The sequence below is a fragment of the Homo sapiens genome, chromosome 7, assembly GCF_000001405.40.
Source record: "Homo sapiens chromosome 7, GRCh38.p14 Primary Assembly".
Classification (NCBI taxonomy): Eukaryota; Metazoa; Chordata; class Mammalia; order Primates; family Hominidae; genus Homo; species Homo sapiens.
This window is the reverse complement of record NC_000007.14, coordinates 65266165-65286792: the sequence shown is the minus strand read 5'-3', so window position 1 is coordinate 65286792 and position 20628 is coordinate 65266165. Positions and strand designations below refer to the sequence as shown.

At 40.6% G+C, this 20628-nt stretch overlaps 1 long non-coding RNA gene across 5 annotated transcripts in view, besides 1 other annotated feature; it reads right to left on the bottom strand.

Moving 5' to 3' along the window:
- LOC105375334 (uncharacterized) overlaps positions 1–17419 on the bottom strand; it is an 82449-nt gene extending 65030 nt beyond the window's left edge. For all 5 annotated transcript variants that reach the window (XR_001744938.2, XR_927613.3, XR_007060361.1 and 2 more), the window contains exon 1: positions 17255–17419. This is a non-coding gene — a long non-coding RNA (uncharacterized LOC105375334). The remainder of the gene's footprint in view (positions 1–17254) is intronic.
- Positions 17109–17696: an enhancer, noted in NCBI's record as "H3K27ac hESC enhancer chr7:64733992-64734579 (GRCh37/hg19 assembly coordinates)". NCBI's record gives its function as "activates a minimal SCP1, AML or CMV promoter by ChIP-STARR-seq in naive H9 embryonic stem cells {active_cell/tissue: H9 hESC(naive)}" and the evidence as "EXISTENCE:reporter gene assay evidence [ECO:0000049][PMID:30033119]".

Sequence of the window (20628 nt, the reverse complement as noted above, 5' to 3'; positions counted from 1 at the left end):
TCACAATATTGCCCAGAGTGGTCTCAAACATCTGGCCTTAAGCAATTCTCCTGCCTTAGCTTTCAAAGTAACTGCAATTACAGGCACACATCATTGTGCCTGGCTAAAACATCTATCTTAAAGATGCTTAGTCAGCTAAATGAAAAAACAGAAAACTAAACAAAAGAGGAAAACAATGCATGAAGAAAACGAGATTAAAACCATAAAAACAGAAGCAAAGTGTGGAGCTAAAAAATAAAATAAATTATTATTTTTAAAATTTAAATATTTATTAAGAACCTACTACATGAAAGATACTGTTATCAGGCGCTGGGTTTCCAGCATGGGCAAAGGCCTCAAGGTGGGATGAAGCATGACATGTTCTAAAAGCAGAGAGTGAGGCTGAGGGTGACATGAGCTGAGGAACTAGGCAAAGACCTGGCAGGATGGGACCTTCCAGTTAGAACTGGCTGCTGTGTGAGCAGCTGAGGGCCTGACTTGATTCTGGGGTTGCCCTATTTGACCTTCAGTTTTTTGTCAAGGGCAGACAGGATAACAGGGATAAAAAAGAGCTTAGGAAATTGAAACCTACTGTGCATTATATAATAAAGATGGCCAACACATTTTCATAGCAAGAAATATGAGTGAAGGCTTGTTCTGGGCATCAGGACTATACAAATCTAATGCCTGGAACTGGCAGGTGCCCTGGGACATCCCCCTGAGACCGCAGGTCACCAGTCCTCAGAATGACACAGCTCTTTTCAAGTTGCTTACAGAAAACTCTTTGTTTAATACTTTATACAAATCTCATGACAATATTGCAAGCAGTTATCTTACTTATCCCTTTTTACAAAAGAGGCCTGGAGAGGCCAAGGGACTTGCTCAAGTCCACACAGCTAGACAGAGGCAAAGCCAGGCCTCTGGCCCTCGTGTTCTGACACCACCTAGGGATCCTTTCATTATTCCAGGCTACCTCTTCTTTCCCTTCCATCTTCTCTTCTCTTTCCCTCTCCTCTTGTTTATTGCCTCTTATCTGCCTGCACTTCAACTTTCTTCAACTTTTCCTTAACTTTTGCATTCAGGATTACATGTACGGGATGTGCAGGTTTGTTACATAAGTAAACATGTGCCATGGTGGTTTACTGCACAGATCATCCAATCACCCAGGTATTAAGCCCAGCATTTATTAGCTATTCTTCCTGATGCTCTCCCCTGGCAACAGGTGCCCAGTGTTGTTTTCCACCATATGTTCATGTGTTCTCATCATTCAGCTCCCACTTATAAGTGAGAACATTTGGTATTTGGTTTTCTGTTCCTGCGTTAGTTTGCTGAGGATAATTGCTTCCAACTCTGTCCATGTCCCTGCAAAGGACATGATCTTGTTCTTTTTCATGACTGCATAGTATTTCATGGTATATATGTATCATATTTTTTTTATCCAGTCTATCACTGACGGACATGTAGGTTGATTCCATGACTTTGCTATTGTAAACAGTGCTGCAATGAACATATGCATGCATGTATCTTTATAATAGAATGATTTATATTCCTCTGGGTATATACCCAGTAATGGGATTGCTGGGGTCAAATGGTATTTCTGCCTCTAGGTCTTTGAGGAATTGCCACACTGTCTTCCACAATGGCTGAACTAGTTCACACTCCCTCCAACAGCATAAAGGCATTCCCTTTTCTCCACAACCTCATCAGGATCTGTTGTTTTTAACTTTTTAATAAAAGCCATTCTGACTGACATGAAATTGTATCTCATTGTGGTTTTGATTTGCATTTCTCTAATGATCAGTGATGTTGAGCTTTTATTTTTTTTCTTTTTTTGAAAGACTCTCGCTCTATCGCCCAGGCTGGAGTGCAGTGGCACGATCTTGGCTCACTGCAACCTCCACCTCCCAGGTTCAAGCAATTCTCCTGCCCCAGCCTCCCAAGTAGCTAGGATTACAGGCACCCGCCATCATGCCCAGGTAATTTTTGTATTATTTTTTAGTAGAGACAGGGTTTCATCATGTTGTCTAGGCTGGTCTCAAACTCCTGACCTCAGGTGATCCACCCGTCTCAGCTTCCCAAAGTGCTGGGATTACAGGCGTGAGCCACAGCACTCGGCCTGAGCTTTTTTTTAATGTTTGTTGGCTGTATGTATGCCTTCTTTTGAGAAGTGTTTGTTCATGTCCTTTGCCCACTTTTTATTGAGGTTGGTTTATTCTTGTAAATTTGTTTAAGTTCCTTGTAGATTCTAGATATTAGACCTTTGTCAGATGGATTGCAAAAATTTTCTCCCGTACTGTAGGTTGTCTATTCATTCTGATGATAGTTACTTGAAGCTCTTTAGTTTAATTAGATCCCATATGTCAATTTTTGCTTTTGTTGCAATTGCTTTTGGTGTTTTTGCCATGAAATCTTTGCCTGTGCCTATGTCCTGAATGGTACTGCCTACATTCTCTTCTAGGGTTTTTTCTTTTTTGTTTTGTTTTTGGTTTTTTGAGATGGAGTCTCACTCTGTCACCCAAGCTGGAGTGCAGTTGCGTGATCTTGGCTCACTGCAATCTCTGTCTCCCTGGCTCAAGTGATTCTCCTGCCTCAGCCTCCCAAGTAGCTGGGATTACAGGTGTGTGCCACCATGCCTGGCTAATTTTTTTGTACTTTTGGTAGAGACAGGGTTTTGCCATGTGAGCCAGGCGGGTCTCAAACTCCTGAACTCAGGTGATCCACTCACCTTGGCTTCCCAAACTTCTGGGATTACAGGCGTGTGCCACCATGCTTGGTCTCTTGTAGGGTTTTTAGTTTTAGCTTTTTTGTTTGTTTGTTTTCTGCATCTATTAAAATATGCATGTGTGTTTTGTCTTTAGTTCTGTTTATGTGATGAATCACATTTATTGATTTGCATATGTTGAACCAAGTTTGCATCCTGGGGAAAAAGCCAACTTCATCATGGTGGATAAGCATTTTGATGTGTTGCTGGATTTGGTTTGCCATTATTTTATTGAGAATTTTTGCATCAATGTTCATAAACAATATTGACTTAACACTTTCTTTTTTTTGTTGTATGTCGCCAGGTTTTGGTATTAGGATGATGCTGGCCTCATAAAGTGAGCTAGGGAGGAGTCCCTCCTTTTCAATTTTTTTGAATAGTTTCAGTAGAAATGGTTCCAGCTCCTCTTTGTACCTCTGGTAGAATTCCACTGTGAATCTATCTGGTCCCGGGTTTTTGTTTTGTTTTGTTTTGATTTTTTTTGATTGGCAGGCTATTTATTACGCTTCAATTTCAGAACACATTATTGGTCAATTCAGGGATTCAATTTCTTTCTGGTGGATAAGCATTTTGATGTGTTGCTGGATTTGGTTTGCCAGTATTTTATTGGGAATTTTTACATCAATGTTCATCAAGAATATTGACCTGGAACTTTCATTTTTTGTTGTATGTCGCCAGGTTTTGGTATTAGGATGATGCTGGCCTCATAAAATGAGTTGGGGAGGAGTCCCTGTTTTTCATTTTATTTTGAATGGTTTCAGTAGAAATGGTACCAGCTCTCCTTTGTACCTCTGGTAGAATTCCACTGTGAATAATCTATCTGGTCCTGGGTTTTTTGTTTTTTTTTTTTTTTTTTTTTTGGTTGGCAGGCTATTTATTACAGCTTCAATTTCAGAACACGTTATTGGTCAATTCAGGGATTGAATTTCTTTCTGGTTCGGTCTTAGGAGGGTTTATGTTTAAAAAAAAAGTATCCATTTCATCTACATTTTCTAATTTATGTACGCATAATATTCTCTGATGATTGTATTTTTGTGGGCTCAATGCTGATATCCTTCTTATCATTTCTGATTGTGTTTATTTGATTCTTTTCTCTTGTCTTCTTTTTTAGTCTAGCCAGTGGTCTATCTATTTTATTAATTTTTCAAAGAACCAGGTTCTAGATTTTTTGAATTTTTGAAGGGTTTTTCATGTCTCTATCTCCTTCAGTTTGGCTCTGATCTTGGTGATTTCTTGTCTTCTGCTAGCTTTAGGTTTTATTTGGTCTTGGTTCTTCAGTTCTTTTGGTGGAAACGTTAGCGTTGTTGACTTGAGATCTTTCTAGTTTGTTGATGAGGCCATTTAGTGCTATAAATTTTCCTCTTAACACTTCTTAACTGTATCCCAGAGATTCTGGAACATTGTGTCTTTGTTCTCAGTTTCAAAGAACTTCTTTTTTTTTTTTTTTTTTTTTTGAGACAAGTCTTGCTCTGTCACCCAGGATGGAGTGCAGTGGCGCAATCTCCGCTCATTGCAAGCTCCACCTCCAGGGTTCACGCCATTCTCCTGCCTCAGCCTCCCGAGTAGGTGGGACTACTGGCGCCCGCCACCACGACCGGCTAATTTTTTGTATTTTTAGTAGAGACGGGGTTTCACCGTGTTAGCCAGGATGGTCTCGATCTCATGACCTCGTGATCCACCCGCCTCGGCCTCCCAAAGTGCTGAGATTACAAGCGTGAGCCACCACGCCCAGCCTCAAAGAACTTCTTGATATCTGCCTTAATTTCATTATTTACCCAAAAGTCATTCAGGAACGGACTATTCAATTTTCATGTACTTGTGTGGTTTTGAGTGGATTTCTTCATCTTGAGTTCTAATTTGATTATGCTGTGGTCTGAGAGACTGTTATGATTTCAGTTCTTTTGCATTTGCTGACGATTATTTTACTTACAATACATGATCAATTTTTGAGTAAGTGTTGTGTGGTGATGAGAAGACTGTATATTCTGTTGTTTTGGGTGGAGAGTTCTGTAGATATCTATCAGGTCCACTTCATCCAGAGCTAAGTTCAGGTCCTGAATATCTTTGCTAATTTTCTGTCTCGATGATCTGTCTAATATTGTCAGTGGTGTGTTAAACTCTCCTACTGTTATCATATACGAGTCTAGGTCTCTTTGTAGGTATCTAAGAACTTGCTTTATGAATCTTGGTGCTCCTGGATTGGGTGCATTTATATTTAGAATAGTTACATCTTCTTGTTGAATTGAACCCTTTACCATTATGTAATGCCCTTCTTTGTCTCAATGAAACAGAATAGAGGGCCAGAAATCAAGCTGCACATCTACATCCATCTGACCTTTGACAAAGCTGACAAAAACAAGAAATGGGGAAAGAATTTTCTGTTCAGTAGATAATGCTGGGAGAACTGGCTAGCCATAGGCAGAAAACTGAAACTCAATTCCTTCCTTACATCATATACAAAAATTAACTCAAGATGAATTAAAGACTTAAATGTAAAACCCAAAACTATAAAAACCCTGAAAGAAAACAGATATTTCCATAGGCAAGAAGCATATAGCTAATTCATATGCAAATTAAGGGACCCTCAGGGAAAAACATCCATCTGTGCCCCTGGATATATGACAATCAACATTATAATCTCACTTTTATGAGTAATATGAAAAAAAAGGAATACAACAGGGATCACAAGAGAGTAAATGGGGAGGATGGGAAGAGGTTACTTAACAAATATTAAGTTACAATTAGACAGGGGAAATAAGTTCTGGTTTTCTGCTACGCAGTAGTACAAAATAGCTAGAAGAGACCAAGTGTGGTGAAACACGACTGTAATCCCTACACTTTGTGAGGCTGATAGGAGAATCACTTGAAGTCGGAAGTTCAAGACCAGCCTGGACAACATAATAAGACCCCATCTCTACAGAAAATAAAATTATTAGCCAGACATGGTGTCATGTTTTTGTAGTCCCAGTTAGTTGGGAAGCTAAAGTGGGAGGATCACTTGAGCCTGGGAGTTTGAGGTTACAGTAAGCTATGATTCCACTACTGCACTCCAGTCTGGGTGATAGAGCAAAATTCTGTCTCTAAATAAATAAATAAGGTCGGGCAAGTTGGCTCATGCCTGTAATCCCATAACTTTGGAAGGCCAAGGCTGGTGGATCACTTGAGGCCAGGAGTTCGAGATCAGCCTGGCCAACATGGCAAAACCCCATCTCTACTAAAAATACAATAATTAGCTGGGTGTGGTGGAGCATGCCTGTAATCCGAGCTACTCAGGAGGCTGAGGCACAAGAATCACTTGAACCCAAGAGGTGGAGGTTGCAGTGAACCAAGATTACACCACTGCACTCCAGCCTAGGTGACAGAGCAAGACTTTGTCTCAAAAAAACCCAAAAAACAAAGATAAGATGAAATAGCTAGAAAAGGGGCTTTTGAATGTTCTCACCACAAAAATAACAATTGCATTAGGTAATAAATACACTAAATACTCTGATTTGATCATTATACAACCTATATATAATTGTACCCCAATATATGTAACATTACGTGTGTCAATTTAAAAAAATGAACTAAGACTTTAACATAAATCCTGTAACTGTAAAACTCCTAGAACAATACAGAAGGGGCAAGTTTCACGACAACTGGTTTTGGCAATGATTTGGGGGATATAACGTAAAGGATCAGGTGACAAAATCAAGAGCATATACATGGTACTACTTCAGTATATTTAAAATATCCCATAGTCAAAGCAGAACATGGAATAGATATTTTGTACATTCAGGTACGTTGCAGCATTACAAAAAATAATACCTGGAAGCAAATGTTTCTTTATGGATGAGTAGATTAAACAAATGTGGCACATATATACAATGGAATATTATTCAGTCTTTTAAAAAGGGGACATCTTGACAAGACCAGAGATCCAGTAGGAGTCAAGCACTCCTATATGCAGAAACAAGTGCAATTTCTTATCTCATCACCAGCCGTAATAATAAAGACTCTGAAGAAAGTTGAATCTTTCTAGGTAATAGACAGAATTTATGACTGATGTCCTGATAACAAGTCAGCCAATCATCTTGACAAGTACTGCAATAACGATAAATCTTTAGAACATTATGTTAAGTAAAATAAGATAGTCACAAAGAAAGAGACACTGTATAATTACACTTGTATAAAATATTTAGTCAAACTCATGGAAACAGAAAGTAGAATGGTGTTCTTCAGGAACTGGAAACAGGTAGAAAGGACAATTTGTTGTTTAATGGGTATTCACTTTTACTTTTGTAAGACAAAAATTATCTAGAACCTCTTGCAAAACAATAGGATTGTACTTAAGAATTCTAAACTGTACACTTAATAATGTTTAAGATGACAATTGTATGTTTTTAACCACAATTAAACACTTAAGACTACCTAAGAGACAGTTACAAAATTTTTTTTAAATTACCTTCAAATAACAAAAATGTTCCTTTCACACAATCATATATATTCAAACTATAAGTAGATTATGAATTTAAGATTATTTTCCTGACTGTCACCTGGACAGAATAAAATAATCATTGAAAACCAAGAAAAAAGGTCGGGAGTGGTGGCTCACGCCTGTAATCTCAGCACTCTGGGAGGCTATGCATTTGTCAAAGGACTAATATCCAGCATCGATAAGAAACTTAAACAAATTTACAAGAAAAAAACAAATAACTGGCCGGGTGCGTAATTCCAGCACTTTGGGAGGCTGAGGCGGGTGGATCACCTGAAGTCAGGAGTTCATAACCAGCCTGGCCAACATGGTGAAACCCTGTCTCTACTAAAAAATACAAGAAATTAGCCAGGCATGGTGGCGGACTCCTGTAATCCCAGCTACTTGAGAGGCTGAGGCAGGAGAATCGCTTGAACCCACTAGGTGGAGGTTGCAGTGAGCCGAGATCATGCCACTGCACTCCAGCCTGGGAGACAGAGTGAGACTCCATCTCAAAAAACAAAAAAAAAAGAAAAGAAAGCCAAGAAAAAATATGTCATAAAGTAGGGGCAACATAGGTGAAAAACATAGATATTTCTATAGGCAAGAGGCATATAGCTAATTCATATGTAAATTAAGGGACCCCCAAGGAAAAACATCCATCTGTGCCCCTCGATGTAGGACAATCAACATTATTCTGGAGTCTTGAAATGGCACTGTAACCTGGCTCTTGAAATGGCACTGCAACCTGGCTCTGGTTTCATGCAGCCACAGTTCAGGAGCAGTTTTGCTCAACCTGGGACTTGCCTAAAAGCATGCAAGTCTGTGCCCCTTGAGGCAGGCCTGCTGACATCAGTCTCACTGTGAATCTTAAAGCAAGGCCTGTAACCCAGTTTTAATCCCCGTCAGCCAGTGTCTGGGAACAGTCCTGCCCACCTAGAAACCCGGAGGGAAATATATCATGGACCCAGAGACAAAACTGAAGATTTTTAGTCTCAGCTGTGTATCCTGAAGCAGCCCTATGAATCAGTTCCAGTGGCTCTCAGGTTTGATCAGGGGTCAGTCCTGCCCATCCAGTGAACTGTCTAATGACTAGGTTAGACCAGAGATCCAGTAGGAGTCAAGCACCCCTATATGCGGAAACAAGTGAAATTTCTTATCTCAACAACAGCCCTGATAATAAAGATTCTGCCCCCGTCTTCCTAAGTAGTAGACAGAATCTAGGACTGATGTCCTGATAACAGGTCAGCCAACCATGAAACCCACTCAAGGCCAAGTAAGAAGTCATGTCATCTGGCTCCAGCAAACTCAAATGCAATATCAGTTGAAATCTCATCAGCCCAAGGACCCAATAAAAGAAATTATTTATCTTACAAAAACTTATGTAATGGAAGATTTGTTCTTTCACATTTAGGGATACAAACATAAGGCTACATAGATGAAAAAGAATCAGGAAAACAAGAGCATCACCAAAAGAACTAATAAAGCTCTAGTAAACATCTACAAAGAATGGAGATCTCAGAATTGTCTGACAAAGAATTGAAAATAATCATCTTAAGAAACTTCGATAAGATGCAAAAGAACAAAATAGACAACTAAAAAATTTTAGAAAACAACACAGAAACAAAGTGAGAAATATAATAAAGAAGTAGACCAAGCATGGTGGTTTACACCTGTAATAATAAAACTTTGGGAGGCTGAGACAGGAGGATTGCTTGAGGCCAGGAGTTCAAGACCAACCTGGACAACATTGCAAGATCGCTCATTAAAAAAAAAAAAAAGAAAAAAAAAAGTAATAGGAAAATAGAAACCATAAAAAACAACCAAACAGAAATCCTGCAGCTAAAGTAAAAAAAAAAAAATGGTAGAACTGAAAAACCATAATAGAAAACTATAACAGGAGACTCAATTATAAAATAAAAAAAAATCAGCGAACTCAAAGATAGGCTATTTGAAAGTGACCAATCATAAAGTGAACAAATCAACACATTTTAGAATTTTCAGAAGGGAGAGAGAAAAAGAAAAAGAGATTGAAAGACATAATGTCTAAAAACTTCCCAGATCTAGGCCAGGCATGGTGGCTCACACCTGTAATCCCAGCACTCTGGGAGGCCAAGGTGCAGGGATGGCTTGAGTTCAGGTGTTTGAGACCAGCCTGGGCATTATAGCAAAACTCCATCTCTACAAAAAATACAAAAGTCAGCCAGGTGTGGTGGTACATGCTTGTAGTTTCAGCTACTTGGGAAGCTGAGGTGGGAGAATTGTTTGAACCTGGGAGGCAGAGGTTGCAGTGAGCCAAGACCACGCCACTGCACTCCAGCCTGGCTGACAGAGTAAGACCCTGTCTCAAAAAAAAAAAACAAAAAACAACAAGAACAAAAACTCCCCAAATTTAGAAAAAGATATGAACATCCAGTTTCATGAAGCTCAATATACTTACAGCAAAAAGAACCTAATAAGGATTGCCCTAGAACACATTATAATTAAATTTTCAGAATTCACAGATAAAGCACAATTCCTGAAAACAGTAAGTGACAAGAGATTCTTCACATACAAGGGAACCTTTATAATGTTATCAGTGAATTTTTCAGCAGAAACCTTGCAAGCTAGGAGACTCAATTATATATTTAAAATGCTTTACAAAGAAAAAAACCTGACAACTAAGACTATATCTAATTAGGCTGTCCTTTGGACATAGAAGAGATCAAGACATTTTAAGACAAAAAAGTTGGGGGAATTTATCACCACTCAACCTGTCTTATGAGAAATGCTAAAAGAAATTCTTCACACTGAAATGATGGAATGTTAACTAACAATACAAAAAACATTATATTATACATTAGACATAAAGTATAAATGTCACTGGAAATGGTATGTAGTGAAGTTCAGAATACTCTAATACTGCAATGGTTTTGCATAAATCACTTTTAACTCTAATGTAAGATCTATTAAAAAGTATTAAAAAGAAAGATAGCCACAATAATTTGTTAAATGTACAATATAAAACGTTCTAAAGTGCCATATATAGTATAAAATGTGTGAAAGGAGAAAATTTGTAGTTTTTCTATGGCACAGAAGTTAAATTGTTATCATCTTAAGCTAGGCTGTTAAAATATAAGATGTTTTATGTAAGTCCCATGATAACCACTAGGAAAAAACTGTAGTAGATACACAAAAGAAAAAGAGAAAGTAACTAAAGCATATAAAAACAACACAAAAACCCAAAAAGCTAAGGCTGGGTGCAGTGGCTCATTCCTGTAGTCCCAGCACTTTGGGAGACAGAAGTGGAAGAATCACTTGAGCTAAGGAGTTTGAGACCAGCCCAAGCAACATAAGGAGACCATATCTCTAAAAAAATAGCTGGGTGTTGTGAAACATGCCTGTAGCCCCAGCTACTTTGGTGGCTGAGATGGGAGGACTGCTTGGGCCCAGGATGTTAAGGTTACAGAGGGCTATGATCATGCCAGGCACGCAAGCCTGGGAAACAAAGCATGACCCTGTCTCAACAAAAATGAACAAAACCACAGGAAAGATAAGACAAGAAAAAACAAACAAATTTTAGATAGTCAGAAAACAACAAAACCACAATAATAACTTATTAATGGAAACTTATTAATAGTAATCTATCACTATTTTACATATAAAGAGATTAAATTATCCAATAAACAGACACTGCTACAGAAAATGTCATCTCTAAATTTTAGGTTAAAATTCAATAGCCATTATGATAGTATTAAGAAGCAGGACCTTTAAGAATTGATTAGGCCTGGCCAGGCACACTGGCTTACGCCTGTAATCCCAGCACTTTGGGAGGCCGAGGCAGGTGGATCACCTGAGGCCAGGAGTTGGACACCAGCCTGACCAACATGGCGAAAACCTGTCTCTACTAAAAATACAAAAATTAGCCAGGCGTGGTGGTGGGCACCTATAATCCCAGCTACTTGAGAGGCTGAGGCAGGAGAGTCACTTGAATCCAGGAGGCGGAGGTTGCTGTGAGCCGAGATCACACCATTGCACTTCAGCCTTGGTGACAAGTCTGAAACTCCATCTCAAAAAAAAAAAAAAAAAAAAAACCCAGGTGCAGTGACTCACGCCTGTAATCCCAGCACTCTGGGAGGCCAAGGTAGGCAGATCATGAGGTCAGGAGTTTGAGACCAGCCTGGCCAATATGGTGACACCCCGTCTCTACTAAAAATACAAAAATTAGCCGGGCGTGGCAGCTCACACCTGTAGTCCCAGCTACTCTGGAGGCTGAGGCAGGAGAATAGCTTGAACCAAGGAGGCAGAGGTTGCAGTGAGCTGAGATTGTGCCACTGCACTCCAGCCTACACAACAAAGCAAGACTCCATCTCAAAAAAAAAAAAAAAGAATTGATTAGGCCATAAGCACTCTGCCCTCATGAATGGATTGATGTCCTTATCACGGGAATTTATTAATTATAACAAGAGGGGGTCCATTATAAAAGGAAGCTCTCTCTCTCCCTCATACCTTTGGCTATGTTATCATGCAGCAATAAGGCCTTTAACAGATGTCAGTGTCATGCTCTTTGCCTTCCTGGCCTCCAGAATCATAAGCCAAATACTTATACTCTTTATAAATTACCTAGTCTGTGATATTCTGGTATAGCAGCACAAAATAGACTAAAACAGGATGAATAAATTTTTTTAAAGACAAATGATATGCTGCTTACAAGAGACTAGCATTTGCTATAAGGACAACCACAAGCTGTAAGTGAAAAGATGGAAAAGGATATTCCATGCAAGTAATAACCAAAGAAGTGTATTAGTAGTTATGCTTAAATTAGACAAAATAGACCTCCTGGCAACATCTACCACAAGAGTCAAATGAGTTCTCCATATAATAATAAAGAGGCTAATTTGTCAAGAGGATATTATGATTAAACATATATATGCTTGGCTGGGCGCGGTGGCTCATGCCTATAATTCCAGCACTTTGGGAGGCCAAGGTCAGGAGTTTGAGACCAGCCTGGCCAACACACAAAACCCTGTCTCTACTGAAAATACAAAAAATAGCCAGGCATGGCAGTGCACACCTGTAGTCCCAGCTACTCGGGAGGCGGAAGCAGGAGAATTGCTTGAACCCAGGAGACAGAGATTGCAATGAGCCAAGATCGCGACACTGCACTACATACAGTCTGGGTGACAGAGCAAGACTCTGTCTCAAAAAAAAAAAAGAATTTATATATTCTCACTGGAGCTTCTAAATATATAAAGCAAATATTGACAGAACTGTAGGGAGAAGTAGATAGGAATACAATAACAGAAAACTTTAATACCCTACTTGAAACAGACAGATTATTCAAACAGAAATCTTCAAAAAAAGAAGTGTGCTTGTATAACACTATAGACTAAATAGATGATATAAATATAACATTTCACCCAACAGTATAAGAATACACATTTATCTCAAAAATACATAAAATATTCTCCAGGAGAGATTATATATTAAACCAAAAATAAAAAACAAGCGTTTCAAATTTAAGAAGGTTAAAATTATGTCAAGTTTTTATTCTGACTATAATGGTATAAAACTGGAAACCAATAGCAAGAAGAAAATTGGAAAACTCACAAATATGTGGATATTAAACAACATGCTCCTAAACAACCAATGGGGTTCAAAGAAGAAGTCAAAAGGGAAAAAGGAAAGCACCCCAATACAAATAAAATTGAGCACACAAGGATCCAAAATTTCTGGGATACAACAAAAGCAGTTCTAAGAGAAGTTTATAATAATAAACTCCTACACTAATAAAAAAAGAAAGATTTAAGTAAACAACCTAACTTTAACTCCCAAAAAACTTGAACAAGACCAAAATAATTCCAACGTTAGCTTAATTATAAAAATATCAAGAATTAGAGAAAAAAGAAAGTAAACAGAGACTAGAAAGACAATAGAAATTTTTTTTTAATTGAGCTGAGTTTTTTAAAGAACCAAAATTGACAAACTTTTGGCTATATTAACCCAGGGAACAAAAAGAGAGAGGACTTAAAAAAATTATAAATAAAAAATTAAGTTATTTCAAAAGATCCCACAGAAATGCAAAAGATAATAAGAGACTACTATGAGCAATTATATGACAACAAATTTGATAACTCAAGAAATAATTATTAGAAACAAACCCACCAAGATTAAATTATAAAAAAAAAGAAATACCGAACAGATCAATAATGAGGAAGGAGATTGAAGCAGTAACCAAATACTTCCAATTTTGAAAAATCCCATGACCGGCCGGGCGTGGTGGCTCAAGCCTGTAATCCTAGCACTTTGGGAGGCCGAGGTGGGCGGATCACGAGGTCAGGAGTTGGAGACCATCCTGGCCAACATGGTGAAACCCTGTCTCTACTAAAAATACAAAAAAATTAGTAGGGCGTGGTGGCGGGTGCCTGTAGTCCCAGCTACTCAGGAGGCTGAGGCAGGAGAATGGCGTGAACCCGGAAGGCGGAGCTTGCAGTGAGTTGAGATGGTGCCACTGCGCTCCAGCCTGGGGGACAGAGCCAGACTGTCTCAAAAAAAAAAAAAAAAAAAAAAAATTCCGTGACCAAATGACTGCATGGGTGAATTGCATCACACATTTAAGGAAGAACTAATGTCAGTCCTTCTCAAACTCTTCCAAAAATTGAAGAGAAAAAACACTTCCAAATTCACTTGAGGCAGCCATTAGTACCCTCATACTGAAGCCAGATAAGGACACTACAAGAAAAGAAAATTATAAGCAAATATCCCTTTGAAGATACAGAAAAAATTCTCAACAAAATACTAGACACTGAATTCAACAACATATTAAAAGGATCATACACTATGATCAAGTAGGACTCATCCCCAGGATGCAAGAATGTTTCAACATACACAAATCATTAAAAATAATATACAATAACAAAATGAAGAATGAAAATTATATAATTATCTCAAAAAATTTATTAAAAGCATTCGACAAAATTTAATACACTTCTATGATAAAAACTCCCAACAATGTACATATAAAAGCATGCATTAAAACACAATAAAGACCATATACATTAAGGCCTCAGATCCCATTATACTCAAGAGTGAAATGCAACAAATTATTTCTCTAGTATCAGAAAGAAGACAAGGATATCAAATCTCACCACCTCTCTTCAACATAGTACTGAGGAATCAAGCTAGAGCAATCAGGTAAAAAGAAGAAAACAAAGGCATTCAAATAAAAAATAAAAAAGCACCACATTTTCTTTGTCCAGTCTATCGATAGGCATTTGGGTTGATTCCATGTCTTTGCTATTGTGAATAGTGCTGAAATGAACCTACACATGCATGTATCTTTATAATAGAATCATTTATATTCCTTTGGGTATATACCCAGTAATGGGATCACTGGGTCGAATGTTATTTCTGGTTCTAGATCTTTGAGGAATAGCTACACTCTCTTCCACAATGATTAAATTTATTTACATTCACACCAACAGTGTAAAAGCATTCCTATTTCTCCACAGCCTCACCAACATCTGTTGCTTCTTGACTTTTTAATAATCGCCATTCTGACTGGCATGAGATGTTATCTCATTGCAGTTTTGATGTGCATTTCACTAATAATCTCGATGTTGAGCTATTTTTTCACATGTGTGTTGGCCACATAAATGTCTTCTTTTGAAAAGTGTCTCTTCATGTTTTTTGCCCACTTTTTAATGAGGTTGTTTTTTTTCCTGTAGATTTGTTTAAGTTCCTGGTAGATTCTGGATACCAGACCTTTGTTAGATGGATAGATTGCAAAAATTTTCTCCCATTCTCTAGGTTGTTTGTTCACCCTGATGATAGTTTCTTTTGCTGTGCAGAAGCTCTTTAATTTAGTTAGATCCCATTTGTGAATTTTTGCTTTTGTTGCAATTGCTTTACACACTATGGAATACTATGCAGCCATAAAAAGGAACAAGATCATATTCTTTGCAGGAACATGGATGGAGCCGAAAGCCATTATCTTCAGCAAACTAATACACAGGAACAGAAAACCAAACACTGCATGTTCTCACTTATAATTGGGAGGTGAACAATAAGAACACATGTACACAGAAGGGGAACGACATACACTGGGGCCTGTTAGAGGGGTGGAGGGAGGGAGAGTTCCGATATAAATTGGGGGCTCCCATAACCTCCTTCTCAAGTTCAATAACTTGATACAACTACTCACAGAATTCAGCAAAACACTATACTTGCATTTACCAATTTATTATGAAAGGTACAAATCAACAAGAGCCAAATGAAAAAAAAGTACAAGGCAAGGAAAAGTGGTGGGAGAAGATGGGGTGGGTAGATAGCAGCTGTGATTAAAGAAATCCCCCATTCTTTGTGCTTTTCAAGAGCATCTCACTGCTAAGAAACACCCTTCCTGTTTTTGATATCCCAAAGCCAGAGACTCTCTAAATTCCCATTTATTTTTATTTTTTTGTCTCATAAACAATTAAATAAGTTTGTCTCTAGTGGACAGAACAAACTACTTGTTAACCAAACTTTTCTTAAGTTTCTTTCCTTCCCCAGGCCCCCAAACTTTGACCCAACCTTACAACCCCTCCTTATGTCCCTCTTAAGAACAGGCTGACTTCTAGGTAAAACACTCTCTGATCTAGGATCTGATTTCACCATGTTTTATCCCTTCCTCCCCCTCCCACATTTTTTTCTCACCTTCTAGTAGTTTGCTCCTCCTTATGAAAGAAAGCCCTTTTCTGACTAATCTTAGTTTAAAACTAATGCCCAGTGTTTAAAGAAAACAGCAAAATCACTCAAACACAGTGTTTATAGAATATTGTAAGGAAATAGTAAGGCACTTAAATTTTATACCTCAACAGGAAAAGCTGAAGTCTCTATCTCTTTCAGACATTAAGCATGCCACTTACATACTTTCATGATAAATAGTTTAATAAACAACCATATATGAACATTTCTAGAAGGTGCCAAGTTCTATCTCATAAAATTTAACATTAAACTTGGACATTTAGACAACAGAATACACAACAGAGTTATCTACTGTTACAAATTTTAGACCCTGCAAAAAAGGGGAGCTGATGTTTTGACAAATATATGCACTTCATCAATTAATCTTTCACATTTTCTTGGGGAAATGTGTTCACTTTCTATAGCCATAATGAAAAAGTGATTTTTCCTATTTCTTTTCCCTGGTAGCATTCCCAAACAAAGCCTTGGAATCCTGTTTGAAATCACCACCCAAAAAGAACGGACATAACAAACTTACTACACTCACTCTGAGGAAGATAAAGGTAAAGAAGCATTTTTAACAAATAAAATATATGACTAGATTTTTCTGAAATCCACCTTTCATGGTCTTTGACTTTTTAAAAAAATTTTCAGCTCTATTGACGAAACGTAATTTACAGTTATTGAAAAACTGAAGTGGAAACAAGTGAAAAAGTCTTTCCAAGGTGACAAACTCAGGGAGCGGCAGCGCTGATGGGAACACAAACATGTCTGACTCAACTGTCAAGTCAGACCATGGTATCCCTCAAAACATTCTCCCATCCCCATCCTGCCCATTAAATTACTCAAGGAGTGTCCTCCTTCCCAGGAGGCACTGTACAATGTCCTCCTGCTTGAACCTGGGAGGTGGAGGTTGTAGTGAGCCGAGATCGCGCCACTGCACTCCAGCCTGGGTGACAGCGAGACTTCATCTCAAAAAAAAATTTTTTTAACAGGAGACACTGGGGACCCCACTGGCCGCAGCTCCTCCCACGCACCCACCGAGTCGGGATTCTGCTCTAATGACCCTCTGTCATCCCTGAACAATCTGGGAGAGAGTCGGGGCTGCGGGTGCAGCGCTGCCCAGAGAGTTTCAGGCAGGTCGCGGCGCGGGAAGAGGACGGTGAGGGGTCAAAGTCCGCTGGCTCAGCTGCCGTCTTGCACCGCCCCCCACCCCACTCTCCGGGGGTACTGAGGGCCCAGCTGCGCCAACGGGGACTCAGGTCTGTGGACCCGGGAGCTGACCGTGGGGAGGCCGGTTCCGCTGGTTTCAACCAGCCCACTCTCCCCTCTTGGGATGCCCAACCCCGCGTACTCACCATTTCCTGGTTTCCAGGATGTCCTGGCATCTTAGCTATGCATTTCCCAGTACCTCCAGATCTCAGGGCAACAGAGGATGTGACAAAGTCACCTAGTGCTCCCGAGGGGCAACACGCGGGACAGTAGAGATGGATCTCAGGCTCCGGCCTGAGCCAGAGACAAAGGCCGCGCCAAACGCTGGAAGCCACGCCCTCCTCCCCAACTGCGTGCCTGATAGGACGGTTCCTACTCTGACAGATTGAATAAGGCTCCAGGACCCTCCCCCACACCCACCGTCCCCAGCATTAGTGCGCTTTATGGACAGGGAAACAGGATCCTGTAGGCGGAGTCACACGCCCCGGGTATCACAGCTAATTAAGAAGTGAGCTGAGCCTTGAAATGCACTTGCTTTTTCCCTTACCTGGGTCTGCTTGTATAATGCATCTTATTAGCTATTTAAAAGTAGAAAGTAGAACAATTGGACACCTTTTTAACAACTTTCTAATCATTTGGATAATGCAGGAAAGACCCTTATCCCATCCCTGAGCTCCTCTCTCAGCATGCTGTACCACACTGCTGACCACAACGTGGGATGGCTATTAGAAATGGAGGGGCAGCGGGGGCTGGGAACGGATAAGCAAGAATTATGTTGCCCAAATATGCTTTTTTTTTCTTTTTTTCTTTTTCTTTTTCTTTTTTTTTTTATTTGAGACAGAGTCTCACTGTTGCCCAGGCTGGAGTGCAGTGGCTTGATCTCAGCTCATTCCAACCTCCACCTCCCGGGTTCAAGCGATTCTCCTGCCTCAGCCTCCTGAGTAGCTGGGATTACAGGCGCCTGCCACTACCTCCAGCTAACTTTTTTGTATTTTTAGTAGAGACAGGGTTTTGCCATGTTGGCCAGGCTGGTTTTGAACTCCTGACTTCAAGTGATCCGCCTGTCTCAGCCTCCCAAAGTGCTGGGATTACAGGCGTGAGCCACCACGACCAGGCAATATGCTCATCTTAGAAAGACTAAGATATATTCACACACACACATATACACACACATATATATACACACACACCTATATATGTGGACAAGGCCAGAGGAAAGTATATTTAGTACAACACAACCATGAGGCTGCAAATCAAACTGGTGGAAGAGAGCATACGTGAGGCTTCAATGGCCAAGACACTGATGGCTATCCTTGGGTGTCACTTAAGACTTCAAGGTGAAGGACATCTTTTTTCCAGTTGGCACAGGGAAAATAACAGACATTAGAATTGGAATTTGTTGTTGTTGTTGTTTTTAGAATTTCTAAAACATGAAGGACTCTCTAAACACTCTAAAAGGCATTGAACTATATATGCGGCTGAGGACCTGCCTGCTCTTCAGAGGGATGGCTGAGCAGCAGCCACCAGCTGTAATGAGCCTTAAACTCCCCCTCTCATAGGGACAGGCCACCTCCACACAGTCCCTCTTACTTCACAGGCTCTGTCCCTCAGGTTCACCTGAGGGCAGGTACCCTCGAGGGTACCTTGACAAGGGCAGGTACCCAGCCAGTTAGATGTTTAGGGACCTCACAGGTCCAACATGCCCAGGGTTTAGCCCCACAGCCTAGCACCCCCTCCCCACCAGCCTTTTTCCTTTTGTCACCAATGACAGGTTCACCTGTGCCACACCCTCATGAGTCTAGTAACTGGAAGGTGGGTAAACCCCAACTGAGTGCCTGTGACTCCACCCTCTTACTTTCCACTCAAGTGGCATTATAAGAATAACCTTAAATTTGATCTAATTTATACATATTCCTCTCTTAGTAACATTTCTAACAACAGCACTCACAATCAAACCCAGTTTGATTGTGAGATTGGGTTACAGAACACACAGGTGAGGCTGGAGCAGCAGGTTTTAAAAACTTTATTCTAATGTGATATAAAGATGTGATGGTTTAAAAATAAGAAACACATATTTATCAGCTGTGGGGATGCTACACTTGCTAGCTTGCATCCATTCTTCTTGAAACAAGGTATCTGGACACACTATACCCATAAGTGGCTCTTTGCAATACCCCAGGCAGAAGCTCCAATCAGACACAGCTCTCTCAGGCTCACAGGGTGGCAACCTCCTCCTTCATGTGGGCTCTGAAGGGCAAGGGAAGGAGCACAGGCAGCAGGGGACAGGGAGCAGCCCGGGGCTGTTGGGATTCCCAATCACCGCAGAGCTAGTCTCTGTAAAGGTGCTGTGTGGCAATGACTAGGTAGAGAGCTGGGCTCCACAGAGAGGTGAAAACCACTCCTGTATCTTTAACTTTCCCCCAGGATCCATGATTCTGCCCTGGTTCCCCCAAAGCCCCTCACCCATCCTATCTCCACGGTGTGTTAGGCAGTTCGGATTAAAACGGGAGAAAAATACATTCAGATTGTAGCCTCCGAGTATTCCCATCTGGGGTGCAGGGAGCAGGGAGGCAAGTCAGGGCCTGTGGTTGTGCCTTTTGCTGTGCCTGAGGGCAGACAGGCCAGTGCTGGGCACATGGATGTCTGGGGGACCACCACCGCTGACTCCCTCCCCCTCACCCAGAGCTACACCCTGGCCAGGCCAATCACAATTAATAAAATCACTGCAGCTCTCATCCTGCCACAAAACTAAAGTGCACCCCAACCCCCAGGGATATCTGACTTCCCATCACAGGATACAGGAAGCCCTCCACCTTTTTTACCTAAAGCCTAGACTTTAAGCCAGGTTGGGCCTAGGGGCAGTGGCAGCAAAAGCAGCAGCCATAATGTCAAACATACAAATGACCTGAGAAATCTCATCTGCATGTCCTTCACTCAGAACTGACCTGGAGTTGTGTACAAGTTAAGAAGGGCAGATCACACACCATGGGCATGGACACATTCCACACTTGCTGGGGAAGATGAGATACCTGAGAGCCACCTGTTTCCCAGCTGCAAGCTGATCTCCACATAATACGATTCATGTGTCTTCATTTTAGGCCTCTGCATTGTGTATTCACTGAGCCAGTGCAAACGCATTTCGGGGGGGTCATCATTCAATGCAGCACCAGCCCCCACTTGTTCTGGGGGGCAGTCAGGAAGGATCTGGTCAGTTCCTGATCCCCCAGGACAAAGGTGCTGCCGCCTTTCCAGCACTAACATCCAGCAGCGCCATCTCAGGATAATTTTTTCACACAAGAGCAGCATGATGTAGCAAGCATGGTGTGACAGGCTCAGGGCCATGGACAGCTGGCTGCTGGCGAAGCAGCACAGGACAGGTGCGTCTGTGGTGGGCCATGACAAGCCAAGGCAGCCACAGCCCCTGTCTCCACACAGCCCCAGCCACAGATGGCATTCAGATCTTCCTGGATGGTATTGGGGTGCTTGAGGCCCATTACTAGCCTGCTCATTAGCACTGCCT